Below are 25,500 nucleotides of genomic sequence, written 5' to 3' on the forward strand. Positions count from 1 at the left end.
GTGTGGAATACCATGATGGTGGGTAAGGCATTCCACGAGTTCACAGATAGTTGTCTTGGCAGAGTACTGCATGCAGGATAGGCAAACCCATATCTGGAGTAGATGTCTATTCCAGTGAGGACAAACCTCTTTCCTTTCCATGATGGAAGAGGTCCAATATAATCAACCTGCCACCAGGTAGCTTGCTGATCACCCCAAGGAATGGGGCTGATCATCGAGGGCTCAGTGTTGGTCTCTGCTGCTGGCAAATTGGGCACTCAGTAGTGGCGTAGCCAGGTCAGCCTTGGTGAGTGGAAGTCCATGTTGCTGAGCCCATGCGTAACCTCCATCCCTGCCACCATGGCCACTTTGTTCATGGGTCTGTTGGGCGATGAGAGGGGTGGCTGGGGAAAGAGACTGAGTGGTATCCACAGAATGGGTCATTCTATCCACTTGATTATTAAAATCTGCCGTTGCTGAGGTCACCCGTTGGTGAGCACTCACATGGGATACAAATATCTTCACGGTTTTTGGCCACTCAGAGAGGTCCATCCACATTCCTCTTCCTCAAATATGTCACCAATTTTCCAATCATGCTTCTTCCACTGATTCAAATGTTAATGTAGTGACTTGATGACCCATAGTCAAATATTCAGTTTCCACCAAAGCCCAGTAACAGGCCAAGAGTTGTCTCTCAAATGGAGAGCAGTTATCTTCAGAAGATGGCAGGGCCTTGCTCCAAAATCCTAGAGGCCTCTGCTGTGATTCACCTATGGCAGCCTGCCAAAGGCTCCAAGAAGCATCCCTATCTGCCACTGACACCTCAAGTACCAGTGGATCTGCTGGATCATATGGCCCAAGTGGGACAGCAGCTTCCACAGCAGCCTGGACCTGTTGCAGATCCTTCTTCTGTTCTGGAACCCACTAAAAACTGGCAGCCTTTCAGGTCACTCGATAAATGGGCCAGAGTAATACACCCAAATGAGGAATGTGTTGCCTCTAAAATCCAAATAGGCCCACTAGGCATTGTGCCTTTTTCTTGGTTGTAGGAGGGGCCAAATGCAGCAACTTATCCTTCACCTTAGAAGGAATATCTCAACAGGCCCCACACCACTGGACCCCTAGAAATTTTACTGAGGTAGAAGTTCCCCGAATTTTAGTCAGATTTATTTCCCATTCTCTGGCACATAAATGTCCTACCAATAAATCCAGTGTGTTTGCTACTTCTTGCCCACTGGATCCAATCAGCATAATGTCATCAATGTAATGGGCCAGTGTGATATCTTGCGGAAGTGAAAAGAAATCTAGGTCTCTGTGAATAAGATTATGACACATAGCCGGAGAGTTGATATACCTCTGAGGAAAGACAGTAAAGGTATATTGCCAGCCTTGCCAGCTGAAGGCAAATTGCTTCTGGTGGGCCTTATGGACAGGAATGGAGAAAAAGGCATTTGCCAAGTCAATGGCTGCATACCAGGTACCAGGAGATGTGTTAATTTCCTCAAGCAATCAAACCACATCTGCTATAGCAACTGCAATTGAAGTCACCACTTCGTTAAGCTTACAATAATCCACTGTCATTCTCCAAGATCCATCTGTCTTCTGCACAGGCCAAATGAGAAAGTTGAACAGGGGTTTGGTGGGAATCACCACCCCTACATCTTTCAAGTTCTTGATGGCAGCACTAATCTCTGCAATCCTTCCAGGGATGCAATATTGTTTTTGATTTACTACTTTTCTAGGTAGAGGCGGCTGTAATGGCTTACATTTGGCCTTTCCCACCATAATATCCCTCATCCTACCAGTCAGGGAGCCAACACGGGGGTTCTGCCAGCTGCTAAATGTCTATGCCAATTGTGCATTCTGGCACTGGGGAAATGACCACAGGATGAGTCTGGGGACCCACTGGACCCACTGTAAGTCGGACCTGAGCTAAAATTCCACCTGATCTCCATAAGCCCCTACTTTAACTGGAGGACCACATGACGTTTTTGGGTCCCCTGGAATCAATGTCAGCTCAGAGCCAGTGTCCAGTAGTCCCCGAAATGTCTGATCCTTTCCTTTTCCCCAATGCACTGTTACCCTGGTAAAAGGCCAGAGATCTCTTTGGGGAAGGATGGGAGAAAGATTCACTGCATAAATTGTCAGTAATGTGGTGTCCTTCCTCAAGGGGTTCTGGCTTCCCCTTCATTCAAGGGGTTCTGGGTCTGTGAGCTGGCTCAAGTCTGGAAATTGATTGAGTGGCCATGATTCTCTGTTTTTATAATTCAAATTAGTCTTTTGTCCATTCAACCTAGAAATTTCCTGCTTGTATAAATTAAGTAGGAATGCAGTAGGCCTCCTATCCATTTCATTTCTAGGAACACCATGATTAATTAGCCAAGGCCAGAGCTCTAGACACATCAGACTATTCTGATTGTCGCTTTGCCTCTGCTATCCGTTATGGTAACTACGCCCACCTTGCCTTTGATGGTTGAGTGTCACCACTTGGCCCCCGCTACCTCGGGATCCAATTATTCCCATTGTATTTAAATTTTGTAGTTGAGTGACTGCAGTTCCCATCATTAGATCTGACACACAGAGAAGAGCAATTACAGCAATTACAGGGCTCTTCAAAGATGCAGGTGCTGCCCTTACAAATCTATTCCACAACTCAGTGTCCCTAGTTTCATCAGGGGGATCTGGCAGTCCCACATGTCCCCATTCCAAGTTTCAGGGTCCCATTCTTTTCCAGTAGATGCCCTCACTTTAACAGTAAACACCTGGTGCATGCATCTTTTGTTACAAGTCAGCCACTCACATGATAAGAGCTTGTGTTTGTTTTTCCACAATTTCAGCTCTTTCTGTTCAGGAGATAAGATTCTCACTCAGGGCAGTCTTAGCAGATTTGAGGCTATCTGTTTCTGAAGCTGGGAGACAGAATCCCTGAGTTCATAATTTTCTTTCATCACTTTGTCCACTGAACATAGGAACAACCAACCAGCTTCATTATGTTCCTTGGTTCTCCACATATGGTGAAAGGTATTATGCATAGAGTCACTAAACTTGACTCTCACGAGTAATGAATCAGGAGGGTCAAATGCATTTATTTTGCATAACTCTCTAAACAGTTCACACCAAGGACTATCAGTGTTCTCCATACTATTAGAAGTAGAGTCCTTAGCATTTTGGGTTCTAATCATATTAAGCAGCCAACTCCAGAAACCCCAAACCAATGAAAGAACTCCATCCTTAATATTCTGTTCCTCTAGAACCACTCCCAATACCAAAATCTGTATTAGTCAGGGTTCTCTAGAGGGACAGAATAGGACACGCACACACACACACACACACACACAAATATATGGAGAGTTTATTAAGTATGAACTTACACAAACACAAGGTCCCACAATAGGATGTCTGCAGGCTGAGGAGGAAGGAGAGCCAGTCCAAGTCCCAAAACTGAAGAACCTGGAGTCCAATTTTCAAGGGCAGGAAGCATCCAGCATGGGACAAAGATGTAGGCTGGGAGGCTAGGCCAGTCTATCTTTTTCATTTTTCTGCCTGCTTTATTTTCGCTGGCAGCTGATTAGATGGTGTCCACTCAGATTAAGGGTGGGTCTGCCTTTCCCCAGCCCACTGAGTCCAATGTTAACCTCCTTTGGCAACACCCTCACAGACACACCCAGGATCAATACTTTGTAACCTTCAATCTAATAAAGTTGACAGTATTAACCATCACACCTGCCTAAGTAAAGATTAAATGAGATGATCATCACAACGCATATTTGTTGCTGTTGTTGTTTAAAAAAGTGAATGGAGGGCCAGGTGTCGTGACTCACACCTGTAATCCCAGCACTTTGGGAGGCCGAGGCAGGCAGCCCACTCAAAGTGAGTAGTTCGAGACCAACCTGGCCAACATGGTGAAACCTTGTCTCTACTAAAAATACAAAAATTAGTGGGTGTGGTTGCGTTCACCTGTAATCCCAGGTACTCGGGAGGCTGAGGCAAGAGAATCGCTTGAACCGGGAAGGCAGAGGTTGCAGTGAGCCGAGATAGCGCAACTGCACTCCAGCCTGGGTGACACAGCAAGACTTCGTGTCAAGAACAAAAAACAAAAAACAAACAAAAAAAGTGAATGAAGGGAAAAATAGATTAAGTTTTCAATGTAACATTGTTCATAGTAGGAAGAAAACCTGAAAGCAACCTAAATGCCCATCAACAGTGGGATTAATACATTGTAGTATAAACCCAGTAAAATACTTTAGTTTTTTAAAAAATGAAAATAAACTATAGTTACAATTGTATAGGTAGCTTTTTTTGTTTTAAAGCCAAGGAAGGATTAACATAAAATTCAAGATAGTGGTTACACCTGCTGTGAGAAGTGACAGGCATGTGATCAGGAAGGGGCATCCTGGTGGTTCCTTAACATCCTGATGAGGGTGTTGGGGCAAATGGGAATTCGTTTTATAATCATTCTTTAAATGATACATATATATGTACACACTGCTGCATTTATGACTCAGTTTTAAAACAAAAAAATCATTTAAAACTCTCATTGAATCTTAATCATGAGACTTATGTATCTATACTTGGAGATGGAGAATATGTAGACCTTGGTTCACCGTCCTAGTCTCCTGTGTTGAATCACAACACATTCTACTCATTTTTTGGCAACTACTAGATGAACTCTTACAACTTTGATTAAAATAATTGATACAGAAGATTTATTTTGCTGGCAGTAGATCTCAAAAAGCAAATTTCTGGTATAAAATGATCTACAGAGAATTTGGCAGATGGCAACTACTGTGTGTCAGGTCTGTGTCTACAACTGTAAATAAGATCTTGCCATTCTTATAGTCAGGCTGTGTTATAGTCATCCCGATCTTTTTTTTTTTTTTTTTTTTTTGAGACAGAGTCTCACTCTGTCACCCAGGCTGGAGTGCAGTGGTGTGATCTCGGCTCACTGCAACCTCTGCCTCCCAAGTTCAAGCAATTCTCCTGCCTCAGCCTCCTGAATAGCTGGGATTACAGGCACACACTACTACGCCTGGCTAATTTTTGTATATTTAGTAGAGACGGGGTTTCACCATGTTGGTCAGGCTGGTCTTGAACTCCTGACCTCGTGATCCACCCGCCTTGACCTCCCAAAGTGCTGGGATTACAGGCATGAACCACTATGCCCGGCCTGATTTTTAAATTTCAGTGCTGTATTCACTTATCAATGAGCAATGCCTCATTGGTAACGGTCACTATTCATCTCATTTCCAGTACTGTCAACACTATAAAAGGAAGACTTACAATATCCTGTAACGAATGGGCATGACTGCATCCAGAAATCTGAGACAGGTTTTCATGTCATGTACAGCTTTTTGTTAATTGTTTAAAGCTGAAGATGAACTCAAATAAAACTTGTAACTCAGAAGCATAGCCAATTAGTCGTTTAATCTATTTTCTGAACTGCATGCTTATTTTATGGATGCAGAGTAGATTGGTTGAGTGTGAGGACACTTAAAAATAGCATGATACAGTTATTGTAGGAAGTATTAATATTTAAAAATTGTTACAGCCAAGACCAAAAAGTGAGAACCACAATTCAATATTTTCTATAAATTTCATAAATGTCTATGTTTAAACATTCCTGGTAAATATGTATAATCGTACACTTTTAAACTTTCTCTGATAAATTCAGTGAGTATTCAATAATTGCTCATTATCAAAAGGTTGTGAATTTGTCTCTCTTCCAGCCAGATGACAGGAGCCTAGGATTCCAATGGTGTGCTCAGGACTGACATCACTGGGGTCAAAGATTCAGCTGCCATGGTCCAGGCTCCAGGCTGGGGAGGATGTTAGGGATTGGTGTGGTCAGGACCAGCGCTGCTATGACTGCGGATTTATTTGGCATATTTGGGACTGGGTGTGATGAGACAGCAGCTGGCATGTCAAGAGGTTGAGGGAGGGAGGAAGAATGAACAAATTATTTAGGATTATGGGAGTCAGGTTTCTATGAGAGAAGGAAGTTACAAAGATGGAAAGGGAGACTAGATTAACCTCAAAGGATTGAATTGAAGGTGTCAATGTGAACTCAAAGTTTTCAATACGTATGTATATAAATAGATATAGAAGTAGGTGACTATTCTTGAATGTGTGTAGACACACGTTTTCCTTTGAGCTGTTCACCAATAAGACAGTGAGCCTTTCTCAGGTCTTCATTTCCATATACCATTTCCCATTTAAAGAAACCAGGGCTCCTTGGAAAAAAGGGCTAATTCTAGACTTGGGGTAGGGAGTAGGAAAAAGTGTAAGATGAGCTCGTAAAAAAAATAAGAGGGGAAAAAGCAATGAGGCATCTCTAAGGAACACAGAAGCCAGCTTGAAGAGACTCCCAAAAACCAAATCGGGGAAAATTTCAGCATGAAAATAAGTGACAATAATACACTGTCACTGAATAAAGCAGGCATTCATGAATCTATACTGATTTAAGTGAATGAAGGAATAGAGAAGGAAGAGCTCTTCCTTACAGTAGTAGGATGCCAACCAAGGCAGAAGCCACGGACTCACCATTTGACAACCAAAATAGTAATTGGTTCAGTCAAGAATTGTCAATAGACTAGCCCGTGACAATTCGATGAGAAACAATACATTTACAATCTTTAAGAATCTCCTCACAAATTACTTCCTAATTCTAATTTTACAATGGAGAAACCTGGTATATACTATCTGAACCAAGTGACCAAAATTAATACTATCAGGTATAAGACAAATTGACATTGTGTGCATCCTGGCATGACACATTTGAGTATAGAGCATCATTTCTGTAGTATTGGACAAAAATGTCTATCCTAAACCTTATGGGTCTTATCTAATGATAAACCAAAACTGAGGAACTTTCTACAAACTGGCCAATCCTCCTCAAGTGTCAAGGTCAAAGACAAGTCTGAAAAGATGTTCTGGACTGAATGAAACAAGAGATAGGGCAACTAAATGCACTATGTGGTCCTGGATTGGGATGCTGAAACACAGGAACATTACTGAGGCAATCAAAATCAGCAGATTGAATGTGGTCTATGGATTAGATATCATGATGTCAATGTCAATCTCCTAAGTTTGATGGTTGTACTATGGTTACGTAGGAATGCCCTTGTCTTAAGGAAACACACAGTAGATAGAGGTAATAATGCAAAAAATATTTTGGTTGGGATTACATTGAATCTACAAATGTAAATGAACATCTTTACACGACTGAGTCTTCTAATTCGTGTACATTATGGAGTACTACATTTATTTAAGATCTCCTTAAATGCTTCCTGACATGGTCTAACATTTTCTCCATCAAGATCTTGTACATCTTTTGTTAGACTTATTCTTAGGTAGAGTATTTTGTATTTTTTAATGATATTGAAGAGATCTTTCTAAAAACTTCCATTTCTGTTAGTTGCTGATATCTAGGAATACAACTGACTTACATACTGATTGTGAATGTAGCAAATTTGCTAACTCCTAGATGTTAACTGAATAGTCTACATATATAATCATATCAACACATCACCATAATTTCCTGCCTGTAGGAAAGAAAAACCCACAGAATTCCACTGACTATAAGTTATTTAACAATATACAATGGTTGTCATTTAGAGAGATGTTTCCAGTTGTATAAATACTGTAACACAACGATAGCTGGGAATAGTGTAGCCATAGTACCATCTTTAAATCACCCAAATAACTGAGGTACAATTCTATCTGCTTGTGAGTTCACTAGGCAACAAGTCTCAGGGATCATATAGTCTTTGTCTCTGTATCAAAACAAATACACTGCCTAAGGTACACTAAAAGTAATTTAACATACTGTACTCATAAATTCTAACTAAGTTCTCTGTAGGTAAAACATGGCTAGGGAAGTTATGATCAACCCTTCAGAAATGACTTCTTCTGAGTCGTTTGGACAATACGCATCATCTTGGACAATACGCCTCCCACAAGGCTTCCTGGTGTTCTGGCAGCACTAACAGGGCTCCTGCTGTTGCCCTTTCCTTTTGGTCACGTATCTTTCCATGTTGCAAAAAACAACTTCTGGATAAATGATTTCCACCACACTATTAGATAGCACAACACAGTGCACACTGTGGATCCTCTAGAAATAGCAACCTCTTCTCAAGAGATACTTGCCTCAGGGCCCCAGGAAACTAGAAAGCATCTAGAGGCTTAAGGCTCTACGCTGGACAAAGTGCCAGGGAGCCCTAAAGGCAGAAAGGACCCAAAAGTGAAATTCTCATTTTTAAGCTGTGAGGGAAAACAGAGAAATGAGTTTATTACATGATATAACCTTTGGGTGGGCTCCATATATTAAAAGAGAACTGAAGAAGTTTAAAAGTACATTTTCTAAGTTTTAGTATAGGATGATGATAATGTTCTGGAGATGAATAGGTGCTCATGGTTGCAAAACAATGTGAATATACTTAATGCCACTGAACTATATGCTTAAAAATGGTTCAAACAATATACTTAAAAATGGTAAATGTTATGTGTATTTTACCACAATAAAAATTTTTTAAAGTTGCATTTTCTATTGTTAAAAACTACCAGATATTATTTAGTAATCACAGTCATTAAGAGCACTAACCATCAAAATCTGACAGCCCTATGTTTGAGATTTGACTCCACCTGTTACACCTGTGGAACACTGAAGCAAGTCATTTAACTAAGCCTTAGTTTCCTTATCTGTAACACAGAAATAATAACATGCTTACCCACCCATTATAGGTTGCTGTGAACTTGAAATAAAATAATCTATGTAGCACCTTGGCAAAGTTCCTGGCACACAGAGAAGGCTCAATACACATGGGCTCTAATTTTCTTTTTAGGTATTCATAGCAATATGATTATTTTATATTTTGTACAATGAGGACTAAAAACAAGCCTTCAGAAAAAAAAGGGCTGGTTATTGCTCCCTAGACCTTTACATCACATAGAACTATAAAACAGGTTTCCATAAAATTCATTCCACATTGTAGTCAACGGATGTATGATCCTAGGTGTTGACTTCTAAGCCAATGGTTAATAACCTTAAACTCTCATACTGTAATAGGCAACAACTGAAAAGAAGCCACGGGAACATGAAATAATTTAACAAGTTGATATATATATATATATATATTATCAAGTATAACACAGTCATACAAAAACATTTAGTAGAAATATAATTCACACATAAAAACAGTCTACTTATTTTTTGTCCCTTTTATATCCTATTTTAGGCAAAATGATAAAACCCAGAAAATAACAGGAATGTACTAGTCCTAAAAACTGGACCTTTTATAAATGAAACAGATCCGATCACCTATACCTTCTCTCAAATTCCAAATAATGAGGCTTACTGACCTGTACTCTCAGAATCAACTTAAATAAATTTTAGCTTGATTTGGATGAAATATGTACTTTCAGTTGTTGACAATCCAGGTAGAACAAGTACATAAAATGATTCCTAAGTCAAAACATTTCATACAAAAGGAATGGTTTTAACCCAGACAAATCAAGAGGAAATGCACTGAATTCAAAAACTTCTGAAACAGGCATTTTTTGGACCATTTATAAAATACTAAAAAGTTCAGAACTGCTGAAAAACAAAAGTTTATATAAAATAAAGCCAAGGGGTGAAAAACTATCAAATGTATTAAAACCATCTAAAGCCAAATATAATATAACTGAATATATAATTTAGAAACAGGTTTAAGTGCATTTTCTTTGTACAACTGACTATCACATGTAAAAACTGGCAATTAATTAAAATGCAATTAAATACAGATTTGCAAGCCTTCTGGCCATTATGTAAACATTTAAAAATTAACTGAATTGCCAATTGAAAAATAAGAGCTTACATACGTATCTTAAAAAAGCACAAATGGTGAAAGATGCACTATAAAATTGTGTGACAAAACATATGCATACCAACAAAGATCTTTTTAGGCACTTGCATTCAGAAACATTCCTTTTATAAATAAGCACTTATAACAGTTCCACTCCAAAAAATAAACCTGATTTTCCCAAATTGCACCTATTAGTTGAGACTATATCATATATTAGGGATGCATTCAAATGGACCATTTGGTGGGGAAAGTCAACTGAACTTTAAAAAATACGAATCCACCTATCTTATTCACAACTTTAAAAATACAGAATTTAAAGATAATTCCAGTGAGGCACAAATGTGACCCTATCAAAACATTCTACCATTCAGTATTACCAACAGAGGATAAATACAACAACAAAAGGCAAAACCCATGATTTGGCAGTCCTATACAAAAGAGGCCCTGTCAAAACATTCTTTCACAAAACAAGCACAATACCACAAAATAACACAACAACAACAAAAAAACCCTGAAATTTGACATCCCTACACAAATTGTGGAATTTCACCTTCGAGGTCTTCAAACTGTTGCATTCGTTTTAGCCTTGGTCTCTGACACATTGGATTCACATCAGGCAAGCCAAGCTCCTCAGAGTCTTCTTTAGGTTGACCAGTTGCTTGCCCAGGACAAGCTGATGCTTTGTCTGGGTCTGGCATTGACTTCACCACGAGACCGTGGGGATCGTGATCTGTGCCAGGAGGCACTGCTGCTGAGGGTGAAGCTGGCTTCTCCTCATTCCCCCTGATACTGATGATGGGAGCATGTGGTTTATAAAATGTTGTCCAATGTTGAGGCTGCAGTGTTCTGGGTGCTCTGACAGGAGCGAGAGGGTAGGAATCTGAAGACCGTCTCTCAGATGCCTCTCTCACTGACCTGACTGGCTCTGCATATGGCTTACTGGGTTGAGTGGCATTGATAGAATGGTCCCCACTAATCTGGAGGCTTGTTGTCACTCCTTTTTCCTGGAGTGCACTGGGCATGATCATTGTAGTCTTGGCAGTTAGGCTGTTTTGTTCATACTGTTTGTCCTGAATTTTCTGTAGAGTTTGCTGGTCAAAGCCATTAAATTTGGAACAAACAGTAGTAGCAGCGTCTTTTCTATTAACTCCTTCAAAGGCAGGATTCTTGCAAAACTTGTCTAAATTTACATTTCCCATATTTCTGCCATTTCTCTCATTAGGAGGACTTGCAAGAAGTAGTCTATCTACAGGCAAACTTACAGGTCTAATCTTGGTCCTTGGAGTATGCCTCTCCACATTGTTTGTTGACCTATCAGATTTCAGAGAAAGTGGCTTAGGGGTTTTACCATCTTCTATCTTTTGGGATGCTGATTCAGCCTCTTGGTCTAGAAGCAACTGTGCTTTGTCTGAAAATGAAAGAAATCTATTTAAGTTTGTGGCACATGGTTAATAAGAGAGTTTGAATGAGTTAGAGATGAACACTCTATCAAGACAATATGAGTCTTACATATTTTTTCCAAAATAATATTCTCAGTTACCTATGTGGAGGAGTTAAACATTTGCACAGTATTAAAGGTGTATATTGAATTTAAAAGTTCAAATTTTTTACTCATTTAAATCAACATGAACAGCTACAAAACACAAAAAAAACACTTGCTGAGTAACTTCTTTTTAAGTGCTGTGCATGAACAAGTACTTTCTGGGTCAAAAGACTATCACAATTTCAATAGGCAGACATTGGAAAATTAACCTCAGAAAAGTGACACTAATTTACACACCAACCAGATGTAAGTGTGCCCTGAATCCCAAGGATTTTGCCAACTCACTCAATCTGCTTTTCAGTTACACTCAACCCAGTGAGAGCATATGATATTAGATGCCTTAGATGCTCTCCATATCTGATCAACTAATAAAGCATAAAATCCATTCTGTCAAATGAAGGCTGAATGCTTTTAAGTTAAAAAGTGCCATTTTCCCCACCTGCTCCCGGATTTTCTTTCTATAGTCCGAACCCACAGTCCATGTTTTCTCACTTAGAAGCCTCAGTTCCTGCATCTATCCTAAAAAATTCCAATTCCAGGAATGTTCCAGCCCTCCATTCTCCTGCTTTTCTGTTCACTGCTGAAACACATCCACCAACTCTGTGCCTTGACGCCATCCTGACTTTAAGCTACAGTCGGCCCCAAGCACAGCATGCAATCCTTTCTCTGCCACCCAGTCCTTCACCCACATCTCTTAGGCAGTGGTTTGCAGACAGGTGCCCACCAGAGTCACTTTTTGGTCATCGTCTCATCTGAACTTCTTCCACACCTGGGACTGCTGGCCTCTCTTCCCTGGGTTCCAAGGCTCTTTTATTGTTTTGTTTTGTTTTTGTTTTTTGAGACAGAGTCTCACTCTGTCACCCAGGCTGGAGTGCAGTGGCATTATCTTGGCTCACTGCAACCTCTGCCTCCTGGGTTCAGGTGATTCTCTTGCCTCACCCTCCTGAGTAGCTGAGATTACAGGTGCCTGCTACCATGCCCAGATAATTTTTGTATTTTTAATAGAGACAGGGTTTCACCATGTTGGCCAGGCTGGTCCTGAACTCCTGGCTTCAAGATCCGCACACCTCAGACTCCCAAAGTGCCAGGATTACAGGTGTGAGCCACCACACCTGGCCCAAGGCTCTTTTGATTTGCTTTCCCAGGTCCTCCACACATTTATAGAGCATTCTAAGGGACCTGGTTCCTTGCAATTGGACTCTAGGCACCAACATATATTCTTAAATTTCTGAGGGAAAAACTTAGAGCATAATGGAGAAGAGCACAGACTCTGAAGCACAGTTGCCTGGGTCCTGGCTCAGCCCTGCCTGCCACTTCTGCACTGGGCTAGGCAATATCACTGTCCTATGTGTCTTCATCTGCGAAATAAGACTCCTATGTGTATCTATGTTGCTGTGTGATCTAAATGATCTACTAGGAAAAGTGCTTAAAATTATCTTGTATGTAATAAACACTGGAAAGTGACATTTATTATTATTACTGTTCCTAAGAGCTTCATGGGATAGCCACAAAGGTTAGGTTTAGTAATCAGAACTGGGTTCAAATGTATTAAGAGAACAACCTTTGGCATTACTTAGTCTCTTTCAGACGGTTAGTTATGGGTTGAATGAGGATAATGCTATTTACTTTATAGCACAGAACTATTATGAAGATCAAATAGAATCAAACAAATAAGCACAGTGCTTAGCACAGAACAGGCAGGTACCTGGTGAATGTTAGTTCCATTCCTTTTTTTTTTCTTTGAGATGGAGTTTCTCTTGTCACCCTGGCTGGAGTGCAATGGCACGTTCTCGCCTCACTGCAACCTCTGCTTCTCGGGTTCAAGTGATTCTCCTGCCTTAGCCTCCCGAGTAGCTGGGATTACAGGCGCCCACCACCACACCTGGCTAATTTTTTGTACTTTTAGTAGGCGGGGTTTCACCATGTTGGCCAAGCTGGTCTCAAACTCCTGACCTCAGGTGATCTGCCCGCCTTGGCCTCTCAAAGTGCTGGGATTACAGGCGTGAGCCACCATGCCCGGCCCTCCTTTCCTTTTTAGACCCTATGATCACTGATACTTGATTACACATTAAATTTAACATATATGGCTGCAATGTAAAAAACTGGAATTTAGCTATAACAATGTAGAAATGACAATACAAATGGAAGCTTTTCCACCAGCTTAACAACTAGCAATGACAGCAACTAATATTATAAAGAGAAAATAAGTGAATAAAATGATCGCAGTCAAGGAAAGAAAAAAGACATACACATCTCTGTGTTTAATAGGTTAAATGTAGGCCACAGGTAAAAAGCATGTCAAAAAAAAAGTAGGACTCTAAAGTTTTTGAATTTCAGGAGTCTAGTTGACTCTGTATGAGCAGTTAGCTCAATGCACTGAACTACGGAACTGGAAGATACTAACGAATATCACATTGCTCAACACATTTCTACCTTGATTTTAGCTGATGGCAAAACTCAAAAACAAAAACAAAATTCAGAAGGAACACAAAAAACATTATAAACTCCAAGATGTCTTATTATAAGAAAGACTTTTATGAAGAATGACATTCATTTAAATGCAAGATACACTAAAAGGCAACTTTCTCAATGGCTAGCCAAGATTTGTTAACTAATAAAGCTTCATTCTCTGGCTTCCCTCATTGCCCCTCACCTTGGTTTTAATCACGGTTCTACTGGTAAAATTTTAAGCCAGCAAACATATTTTTTTTTTACATGGCTACTCACCACTGAGACATGCATCACATTTTCCTAACGCATTTTGCTTGCGTTCTGATTCCTCAAATGATGTAGCTCGTTCAAAAATTTTGCTTTCACTCTCTGAAGTATGGATATCCTGTTGATGCAAGATAATTTTTAAAATGGAAGAAGTAAAACATAACCTCAAAATAAACAGTTCAAAGATCTTTAACTTATTAACATAAATATTACAAAGTTCTAATATAATTCTATAAAGGTCAAACTCACTTCCTTTGAAGAAAAAAATAGTGACTTCATGGAACGTTCAATGTCTCTTTCTTCTGGTGATAACAGAGGCTTTGGAAAACAGCCTTGATCAACAACACCTATGCTACACATAACATCTTGTGGTTGTAGGGACCCATCGAAGATCTTCTGTGAGTAAGTAATGAGAAACTCTACCAAGCGTGCTTGATTTGAATACTCTGCAAGGGAGGAGATGGTGATAGGAGCAGTTGTGGGCCTTGGCCTAATGAGACTTGGTCCAAATATCACCCCCAAGTTTTTGGAGTTCATCTTGTTTTCTTCTGCATGATCTACTACCCTGCAAAGTAGAACACATAAAGTTGTATGAGATTTTCCTATTAGAGTTCCTTGACTGTAGTTTACTATGGAATAGAGAGGGTGGAGGGAAAATGAGCTGCACAAAAATACTAGGGGGAAAAAGTCTAGGAAAAGGTTATATTTATTTGATTAAAATATTGACCACATGCCAAATAGAGTTTCACAGTTTCACAGTATTGGAATAAATTTCAAGTTAAGTAGAAGGAACTACTATAGTTTTACCAGCAGAAAGAAAAAATACCCCTAAAAACTGCTCCCATCTCAGTATATGGTATATCCTCCCAAGTCCTTATACTGGGAACTTAAACATCATTGTCAGGTGTCTCACTACCCATCTCCAAGTCTAGATGATTCTCCCTTCTGAAGATCTCAGTTCCAACACCATTCCCACTCCTCTGGCCTCACTTCAAGCTCTTACCACCTTTTATTTCTATGATTATTCAAGGAGATCTGAATTGTAATAAAGGCCTCCTCTCCAACTTAGTTTCCATATTGCTGCCAGAAATATCTAAAAGGCAAATCTGAGCCTGTCAAATTCCTAGCTCAAAATTCTTTAGTGGGTACTGAAGGAAGATGGTCAGCGCATGCAAGACTGCCAGGCATGCAAGACTTTATCAGGCCTCTACCTGGCTCAGTTTCTGCTACTGCTTGCTGTATTGCAGCCTAACCAATTCACTTATATTTCTCAGATGCACAATGAGCTCATGTCTCCATGTCTGTGACTTTGTGCCTGGAATGCTCTTCTGTGTAATTTTGCCCACCAAGATACAACTTGGTTCTGTAAGTCTGATTCAAGGGCTATCTCCTCTGATTTATGCCTGCACCACACAATCTTCCTCTGCATGCTGTGCATAGCTGTTAGAACAATGATGCTGTACTCTATTTGTCTGCAGATCTGTCCCCACAGCTGATGAGACCAACAGATGGCTGAAACCCTATGTTTTCATCCTTGTTTAGCCAGCCAGAGCCTGGCACACAGGAGGCATCTGAGGGAACTATGTTGGCTGCATGTACATATATCTTCAATGTCTCCCTTTCCCTTACACAGATTGGAAATGAAATGTTCATTTTAAAAGTAACACTGCAACAATATGAACACACTTAACACTTAAGAATGGCTAAGAAGTGCCAGGCGCGGTGGCTCACGCCTGTAATCCCAGCACTTTGGGAGGCTGAGGTGGGCGGATCATGAGGTCAGGAGTTCGAGACCAGTCTGGCCAATATGTTGAAACCCCATCTCTACTAAAAATACAAAAATTAGCTGGGCATGGTGGCATGCACCTGTACTCCCAGCTACTTGGGAGGCTGAGGCAGAAGAATTGCTTGAACCCAGGAGGCGAGGCTGCAGAGAGCCGAGATTGTGCTGCTGCACCCCAGCCTGGGTGACAGAGCGAGACTCTGTCTCAAAAAAAAAAAAAAAAAAAAAAAAAAGAATGGCTAAGAAAGTAAATTTTGTTATGTGGATTTTACCACAATTAAAAACAAAAAACAAATCAATTGCCCATTAATAAATGTTCTAGTTATATAAAATTCTTACCGCTTTAGATGTACTATAAGGAAATGAAGACTGTTAAAATTTGATGCTGGCAATTGTCTTAGAAGGTCTTTGCTTTTTAGAAGAATTCGGTTTATTTCTATACACATATTTGGCCATTTTTTGTCTTCAAGACTATTCTTTTTTGTCTCTTGTTCTTCATTTACATGTTGGATCTCTTTTGCAAGGTCTATAAATTCCTTGTACAATCGAAATAAAATAAATGGTTCTGGGAGCTAAAGAAATAAAATTACATTGGGGTAAGCATTCTATTTTTTTCTGTTAATAATCAACTATTACTAACAGTTACAGAGTGATTTAGCATGTCCCTTTACATTAAGAATATTTAAAGTCAATCCACATTTAGTAATGTAAATGTTTGCTACAGATGTGGTCTATAAAGTAAACCTAGAATCATCATCATAAATTGTTATCTGTATTAAAAACAACTTAACTGATAATCAGTAAAACTAAACCTAAAGCTGCATGATGGAATTTTACAAGTCTGGTATATATCCTATAGCAATCACATTCACGACTCCCCCAAAGTTAGTATGATCTTCAACTCTTTTATTGAAATAAAACCCAGGATAATGCACAAAATAAGTCAAATTAGTTAAAAAGGTGAATAAACTGAATTTTCTTGATATGAGAGAAACAGCAAGAAGACACTGTTAACATTTTATTTATCTAATTTTTTAATACACCTTGAATTGCCATAAATAGGTCAAAAGAAAAAGTACCTTCTCAAACTAACAAAGGGCATGCCATTTTGATCTGCCCAGTGTCATAATGAATTTCAATGTTTCCGCTTGCTCTGTGATGAAACACAGGGTACCTCTGACTACTACCTGATGTCCTATTTTATCTGTGGTGAGTCAGAAGGTAGGTGCCCCTTTCTCTGGTTTCCTCTGCTGGTCCTAGAGAGGGGTAGCCTTGAGATCAATTTCTACCTACACCACTCTGGGATCTGAAGGAAGTCACTTAACCTCTTGGAGCTGCAGATTTCCTGCACAATAAATGAGTAGCATGAAGTCTACTCTCTAACATTGTTTTAAGAATGGAACATGGTTTCCCACATGAAAGTCTCGGTCACATAATATTCCTGAGACAGAATGAGAGCTGATAGTATTGGACCCTATTCATTTCCTCTCCTTGCCTGGCTAGAAGAAATAAAGGATGATTCATTATGAGATTTATAGTCATTCAAAGGTATTTGGCCTCCATTTTTCAGCTGAGAGTCCTGTAAAATGTGATTAAAGATATACCAGTAGTTTCCTGGGCTAACATGGTAAATCCAACAATTATACCCAATTTCTTTTCCTGCAATCCCACTAAAATACAGTAAGCCCACAGGACTGAGAGAATAGGAGAGGAGACAAAAGCATTACTTCATAAGCTGAAGAGTTGAAGAGCAAATGAACAAGTACTGACTTAGCAGCTCTGATAAAGCTGAAATCTCAAACTGTGAACCAACATGACTGACAGAATCCTAAGGAGACTCAGGGACTGTCAGCACTAGGTCTTCTGATTCTGCTGGAGCTATCTGAGAAGGCTTAGATCTGTAGATCCCTGTTGCCACTTCACGCTTCTGAGCAGCCTCTTCCCGAGAAGTCTCAAGGTTTCTTCTCCGGGCAGTATAAAACAGAGAGTCTCTGGATGGGCAATGTCAAACACAAAGGACAGACGGGCAACTATCTGAAAATGGGGATTTAGTGGACTACACATGCCATTCTAAATGTAGAGATCCTGTGGCCTTCTTAGCCTACTTGGCTCTTACAGGACTGGTACCACACTCTAGGCAAGGAAAGACCCTTCTCTGGAGTATCAAACTACCCCAAGAACAGAAACCTATAGAGATAGAGGCATCAAGTGTTTCCCGAACAGCCCACCTAGATCACCCTACTATAAAGCTCAAGGTCTTCGAAGACTTCTTGTGTTCAAGAGCTTCAAAAGAGATTCAGTTTTCAACTCTTTCATTTTAAGCAGACAGTCATGGAGACGGAAATCAAAATGAGTAGAAAACAACAACAACAACAACAACATAAAGGTTTAGGACTGTGCTATTAATATGGTGGCCACAAGCCACATGTGGCTACTGAGCACTGGAAATGTGGCTGGTCTAAACTGAGATGTACTTTAAATGAACAAAACATAGCAGATTTCAAAGACTCAGTAACAAAAAAAGGTAAAATTATTTCATTAATAATTTAAAAATACTGATTAAATGTTCAAATGATATTTTCAGTTTAAGTAAAATATTAAACTAATTTCACCTGTTTATATTTCTTTATGTGGCTACTAGAAAATTTAATACTGTATATGTGGCTCACATTATATTTCTATTGGACAAGGCTAGAGAATAAGCCAAGAATCCTTAAAAAAAAATTATAAATATCCTCAGATATGGCAGTCATTAAAAAAGGAAGAAAGCTGCAAAAAGAACAAAAACTACAATTCTGGGGAATTGAAACATGATACCAGGAATGAAATAGTTAATAGCAAGGAAGAAAGATAGAGCTGAGGAAATCTCTTAGAAAGTGTTGTAAGAAAACAAAAAAAAAGAAATGAATGATAGAGAAAAGATAAGGGAACTAGAGAACCTGTCCAGGTTGTCAAGTATCCAAATAAGAGTTCCAGATGGAAAGCACAGAGAAAATAAAGGGGAGGAAATGAGCAGCAAAATGGGAAGTTCCAAAAACTAAAGGACTAACCAGGATTGGCAGCGCTTATGGAGTGCCCTGAATAGTGGATAAAATACACCCACATCAAAACACATACTTATAAAATTTTAGGATAATGGGAAAAAAAGAAGATTCCACAAGCTTTCAGAGACAAAATCATAGGCCACATACAAGAAGTTAGAAATGAGAAGGATTTCAGGCTTCAAAGAGAACAAAAAAAACACCTTTGAATTTCTGAAGAAAAATAATTTTCAGTCCAAAATATTAGAACCGTCCACACTATCAACACTTATGACATTTCCATTCAAGAGAGTAGAATATAAAGACATTCGTGGATAAATAAGGTTTTAAATATTTACTCCTATTCTACCTTGCTCAAGTATGGGCATGACCAAAACAGGAGAATAAAACAAAACAAAACAAAACAAAACAAAACAAAACAAAACAGGGAAGACATGACAGGCATTTCCTCATAAAAGAGGAGAAGGTGGAAAAGAGATACCCCAGGATGGCAGCTAGTTACCATATTTTTAAAAATCCAGTACAAAATTATAGCTAGATAAGGAGGAGTAAGTTCTGGTGTTTTATACCACTGTAAGATGACTGTAGTTAACAATAATATATTACATACTTTCAAATAACTAAAAGGAGGGTAATGAATGTTCCCAACACAAAGAAATGATGCTTGAGATGATGGATGGGCTAATTACCCTGATCTGATCATTATGCATTATATGTATCAAAACATCACTGTGTACTCTATAAATATGTACAGTTATTATATGTCAATTAAAAAAAATTTTTTTTTTTAAAAAGGATCCTGCTGGAAGCAACAGAACTGCAGAGATTGATATGTTGAGGACTATCATCACTATTCTCTCTGACATTATCTCTTCATTTTCACCCGAGGACAGAATAGCAGCTAAGCTTGGCTCAGGTCTTTTTTTGTACGTGTCTCATGACAATGTGCTGATTAAGTTCTTGCAATCCCTCCATAAGCTGCTGCTTGATGCTACTAGAGCCATTTATTTCATCCCACTGAGTAGGTCTTTGGACCTACTCCTGCAAACTACAGGTTTAACAGTGAGAAAAAAAAAAGAGCAGTCTACTCCCTGACCATATTCCTGCTAGAATGTGCAGTACCCAGCTTATAGGACAGTCCTTCCAGGTGCTCCAAATGTAGTACATTACATGTTCCCAGGACTCATTCATCATCTTGGCCACTAACCTATCACAATGGCTATTTTAAAATATCAACGAAGGCAAAGCCAGCCTATGATCCAGACACTGTTTTACTTACTTCATATAACTGTGTGGATACTGGGATTTCCTTACACAGCTAGATTTATGCTTTCAAGTCAATTTTCCAAAGCTTAACAATACATTGTTTAGGAATAAATAGCAAGTATTAAAACTATTAAGAGAAGAGAGAGAGTTATGATTATTAAAGACCTCCTTGGTGGAGTTAGGGGGATGTAACTTGGAAGAGGAACATGGGGGTTTTTTATAAGGTACGGTAATATTCTATTTTCTTAAGGTGGGTGATGGGAGATGAGTTTGTTTTTATTTTTCTTTAAATTGTACATGTATTTCATATACTCTGACCTATGCACTAATCATTAGCAAGATACCTATACCGTCTATGCCAATGAAAAAACATGTGTAGCAAATGTTATCAGCAAAATACAAATCATATTTTTGCTGTTTTTAATTTAATGGTGGGTTTCAAGGGTAAAAATTTTTACCTGCCGAAGGTATAATTTCAAGACGTCACAGATATCATGTGAACTAAATTCTGAAATATCTACCAAGTGCATTCCATTTTCCAAAGCTTGACACAATTTTTCAGTTTTTATTTTGTTTCCACACACACGATAAATTCCCTTCAATAGAAAAGAAAAAAATTTTGCAAAATTCTTCTTTAGTACAAATGGCTAAATGCAGATATCTACATATACTTGATTTTCAATCTTTTCACTCTATTTCAAATTTTATTATTATTTTAGAAAAAAACTATTCAAGGCCAAATGAAGTAACATTTCCTATAGAAATCTGAAAAAATTTAGTTATTAAAGACTGTTCATTGGCCAGGTGCCTGGGAGGTGGAGGCGGGAAGATCACCTGAGCCTAGAGTTCAAGACCAGCCTGGGCAACATAAGGAGACCACATCTCTACAGAAAAAAATTTTTTTTTTTTTAATTAGCCAGGCGTGGTAGCGCGTGCCTGTGGTCCCAGCTACTCAGGAGGCTGAAGTGGGAGGGTTGCTTGAGCCTGGGAGGTCAAGGCTGCAGTGAGCAGTGATCATGCCACTGTACTCCAGCCTGGGCAACAGAGTGAGACCGTGTCTCAGAAACAGAACAAAACAAAAAAAACCCCTGAGCATTATTTTCCTTTAAAGTCTCCTTTTCATTAGAATAGGTTACACAGGCATTTATGCTTTTTAAAATTTTAAGAGTTATAATGTACCTGTAGACACAAAGCTCTATTTTCAATCTCTGAGGCACATATTTTGAGTATAAAAGGGATACCATCTGGTTCCTTTTTTGCAACTTGTGTGAATTCTGCTCCAAATAAGTGTATTTTTCCTGGAAGTTTCTGATGACCACAAATAATGACTAAATTTTCCAAACACTTTCGATGACAAACAAGGAGACACTACAAGAAAATGATAGTTTGAAACTGGTTAACCTTAAAACTATTCACAACTGGGCAAACTGCAGGTGGAAGGTAACACAACAAAAATGAGTTTAAGAGGTATTACTTGCGCTATTTGAAACAGATTTAACAACAAAATAAAATATAAAATTATAGAAGGTGTACTGTAGTACAATTTATTAAACATATATTTGCAAAAGATCCTAAAAAGTAAAATTAAAAACAAAAAAGTATAAAACAAAAAGCATAAAAGGGTCAACACAATTCCACAAAGATCTTACCTCTTCACATTCAACACCTTGGAACACTACAATGCCTTCACAATCCCTACATTTCGTGGGGGATCTCAATTTGCGAAACTTGTGTGTGAGAGCTGCCTTTGACATCAATGTTTTCTTAAATGTTCCAAGGGAATTGGGTCCTTGCAAGAGAAATAATTTACAAAAATTGTAAAATGATAGAAAAATTATACCATGTGATATCATATTTTGAATAATCTTTAAACCCTGTAATCATTCATATATTATAAAAAGCTTTGAATCTCTAATATCAAAATAGCTAGTTAGCATCCAATTTATAGGTCTAATTTATAGATCTCTTAAAAGGCACATTTATGAAACATTTTAGCTATGAGTAAAAATCGTCACCAAGTCACTGCTATGAATAATAACATGACATAACGTTTTCAGAATCAGCATATTTACACTGTTATTAATATGCTCTTTCATAGAGCTGGGAAGTGTGTTCATAGGTGGCATTAGAAAAAGCCCCTCTAAACAAAGAAAAATAGCTGTATGAGGTTAGAGTGTGAGCATTATCTGCATTACAGATAAAGCTATCCTTAATTCACTATAAAATTATAGTTAATATTAGCTAATTACATATTAATATTATACTGGAGGTCACATATTCCATTAATTTAGGAAATGATGCCAAACCAGGTATCTGTAGGCATTAAACACAAAATGAATTTATATGAATCTAATTCAAGTCGTTAAGGTAACTGATTTAACTTTATCCTTCAACATCCACAACTTCCTTGTCCTCAAGAAGTACACTTACTTAGTTTTCTTGCATTGTTTCTTTTGAAGGAGCTTTTTAGAATTTCTTATGCACCACAACCCTTTTAACACTAAGTCACAGTATTAGGTTTATGAAAATGCACAATATCTAGCCTGTTATTTTAGCACCATGCCAATACATTTTACATCCAGTAGTTTTGCTGCCTATTCTTATATTTGTATTTGTAACATTTGATTAATACATTATCAACCCATACTTATATATAATTGTTGGGATATATTTAAGTCATGGTGAATTTTTTTTGTTTAATACACAAAAAAGTATTGATTCTTTAAAATTATACTATTTATCTAATATCATGCAGTGCTACTGATTGAGCTGGTTTAGTGGGACTTAATTCAGGTAAATACAATACCAGTTTCTGAAGGGGAAGGTGGCTCTCTTTCATCTAGATCATCTGCAGAGGACATAGTTCCACTGGATGGTGTTCGTGGAAGTTTTCGATGAAAGTCTCCTAGAAGAAAATTGTGGATACAATTACCTGACCATTCATTGTAGAATCTTTGAAATAGGAAATGACAACACTTTTGAAATAACACGTCATACTATTTTATTAGCTTCAATGTAAAAATTTGCTTCTATTCTCATACTCTGGGTAACAGGGAATTTTGATACTCATTCCTGGGAACAAAAAGAAATTTAACCAAATCTGACTTTCCCAAACAAATTTAAAACTGAGGCTCATGTAGTCCAATAACACTTTACTGCCAACTTCTGATGGTAAGTATTAGAGATTGTAAACTCCACAAGTATAGCTGATATTTTCCATTCATATCTAATACCTAATATGTGACAGAGTAGCTGGCACAACAGTAAAGTTGTCATTAATGTTTGCTGAATTAAGTTATAAATGTATACAATTAAACCAAAAGCTTTCTACAACATACAAAAATCTTTGAATATAACAACCCAACAGTAACATCACATTTATGTTACTGGCAAGACTGCCGACTGGGAACCAGGAACAACAGCCCAGAGATACTGGCAGGGAGCTGAGACCACAGGATACAAGCTATGTCAGCAAAGGACACTGCCATATGTATCAAAGCATGTTTGGAAGCAGCTCAACTGGGAATGAGGTTTATTTACTCCCTCTGCACAGGCCTATATCTAAGTGGAAGAATTCACCTTAACGTAAGGCCTTAAACGTTTCAAATTCAGAGTTAGAAAAGCCTTTATAAATGATTTTAAAGAACATCCTCTTCACCAAAGGATTTTTCTTCACAATATGCTTAAAGGTAGCTATCTAGTTTTCACTTTGAATGTGCCCCCAATGACTGATAAATCACAAGGTTGTATTACTCCATTTTATAACTATTCTAATTGTAAAATGCATTTCTTATATTACTGAACAGAAATCTGCCTCCCTATAAATCCCAGCCTTGGTCATATTTTTCCCAAATGGAGGAAACAAGCACTCTAACTTTAATCCCTTGTCACTTCCAGTATTTGAAGACAGCTGACAGGTCTCCAATTTTCCTTTTTCCCAGGCAAGGCATTCCCAGGTTTTCACCCATTTATCAGGTGATGTGGTTTCTAAAATTTTGCCTTTACCACATGAAGTCTTATGGGATCCTAAATAATTTGGGGCTTGCTCTAGATTGGGTCATAATTTCTGGAGCTACCTAGAACCAGTTTGTTGTTACAAAGCTAATTACAAATATTGAGCTCAATATTAGGCTCACATTTCCAGAATGTTCCTTGAACTGTGCTAGTTCTAAAGAAGGCAGCAAAGTGGCAGGTGATAATCAGCCTAAGAACCCAGTGCTGCGTGAAAATAGTTTCCTAAATTTAAATATAAGAGATTTATCTAAATGAGTACAACTTCAGCAATATGTAAAAGAAGAAAAAGGCCTTGGAATCTGAGATGGCTTAAATCCTGTAATCTATTAAGATCCTAGAAGAAAGAAACGTTGCCAGAAAGAATGGGCCTGAAGCAGTCTTTGGTAGAGGTGTAAAGACAGAATGTTGGATGTAAGAATCTCATGGGTTCAACTGCTACCTTCTTCTCCCGCTAGCTGTATAACCCAGGCAAGTTACTCTCTTAGAAGCCACTAAGGGAGAATTCAAATCGCTTACTCTATTTCTCTCTGGGGATCATGAGATAATCTATATTAAAGTATCTTAAAGCACATTTGTAAAAAATTAACAAGAATAAGTAATTGCAGGCACAGAAATACCAAAATAACATTGTTTACTATAGCAATTAAGTACCAAACAATCCAAAATATGACAATTATATTCACAGAATATACAGCAGTGAAAATAAAGGTGGCTACCTACATTCACATAGATCTTAAAAAAAAACACACATAAATGAAATCACAATAGCGTAATTCAATTTGTATAACATTCAGAAGAGAGCAAAACTTCACCAGATATAGGTACTAGAAACATTTAAAATAGCTAGAGAATGTTTTTAAAACATTTCAGGATAATGGTTTATTCTGGTGGGAGATAGGGCAATGTTACCAAGGAGGTGTACACAGGGCGCTTCTAATATACTGATAATCGTCTATTCTTAGCCTGGGTGGCGAATATATGAGGGGTTTTTAAAAACTATTTTTTAAATTGTACACTTTCCTCTCTATTATGTGTGAAAGTTCACTATAAAAACAAGGTAGTTAAAAAATACCTAAAAAAGGACTGATCTTTCAATGAGTTTTCATTGCCAGACTTAAATATAGATGTACCTGGACTTATAGATTCTGAATCCAGAGATCTAGATTCGCTGCTCCCTCCAGTGCTCTCAGAATCACTAAACATCCCAAATGTCCATGATCTTATAAAGGAAGGACCTTTAATAAAAAGAATAAAGTCAAAACTTGGCTACAGGTAGATTTCATAAGGTAAAATACTGACATTCTATCAAGTGAG

At 38.3% G+C, this 25,500-nt stretch overlaps 1 protein-coding gene across 8 annotated transcripts in view; it reads right to left on the reverse strand.

Annotated features, from left to right (window-relative positions):
* The window catches only part of ARHGAP29 (Rho GTPase activating protein 29), a 145,688-nt gene continuing 125,572 nt past the window's right edge, over positions 5,385 to 25,500 (reverse strand). For all 8 annotated transcript variants that reach the window (XM_047434759.1, XM_047434754.1, XM_011542439.3 and 5 more), the window contains 9 exons: positions 25,317 to 25,421; positions 22,979 to 23,077; positions 21,822 to 21,961; positions 21,352 to 21,540; positions 20,631 to 20,768; positions 16,205 to 16,437; positions 14,332 to 14,647; positions 14,092 to 14,200; positions 5,385 to 11,229 (listed from right to left, as the gene is read on the reverse strand). In XM_047434759.1, the coding sequence (XP_047290715.1) occupies positions 10,349 to 11,229; positions 14,092 to 14,200; positions 14,332 to 14,647; positions 16,205 to 16,437; positions 20,631 to 20,768; positions 21,352 to 21,540; positions 21,822 to 21,961; positions 22,979 to 23,077; positions 25,317 to 25,421 (2,210 nt within the window). In that variant the 3' untranslated portion in view covers positions 5,385 to 10,348. The remainder of the gene's footprint in view (positions 11,230 to 14,091; positions 14,201 to 14,331; positions 14,648 to 16,204; positions 16,438 to 20,630; positions 20,769 to 21,351; positions 21,541 to 21,821; positions 21,962 to 22,978; positions 23,078 to 25,316; positions 25,422 to 25,500) is intronic.

Source organism: Homo sapiens, chromosome 1 (assembly GCF_000001405.40).
Source record: "Homo sapiens chromosome 1, GRCh38.p14 Primary Assembly".
Lineage (NCBI taxonomy): Eukaryota > Metazoa > Chordata > Mammalia > Primates > Hominidae > Homo > Homo sapiens.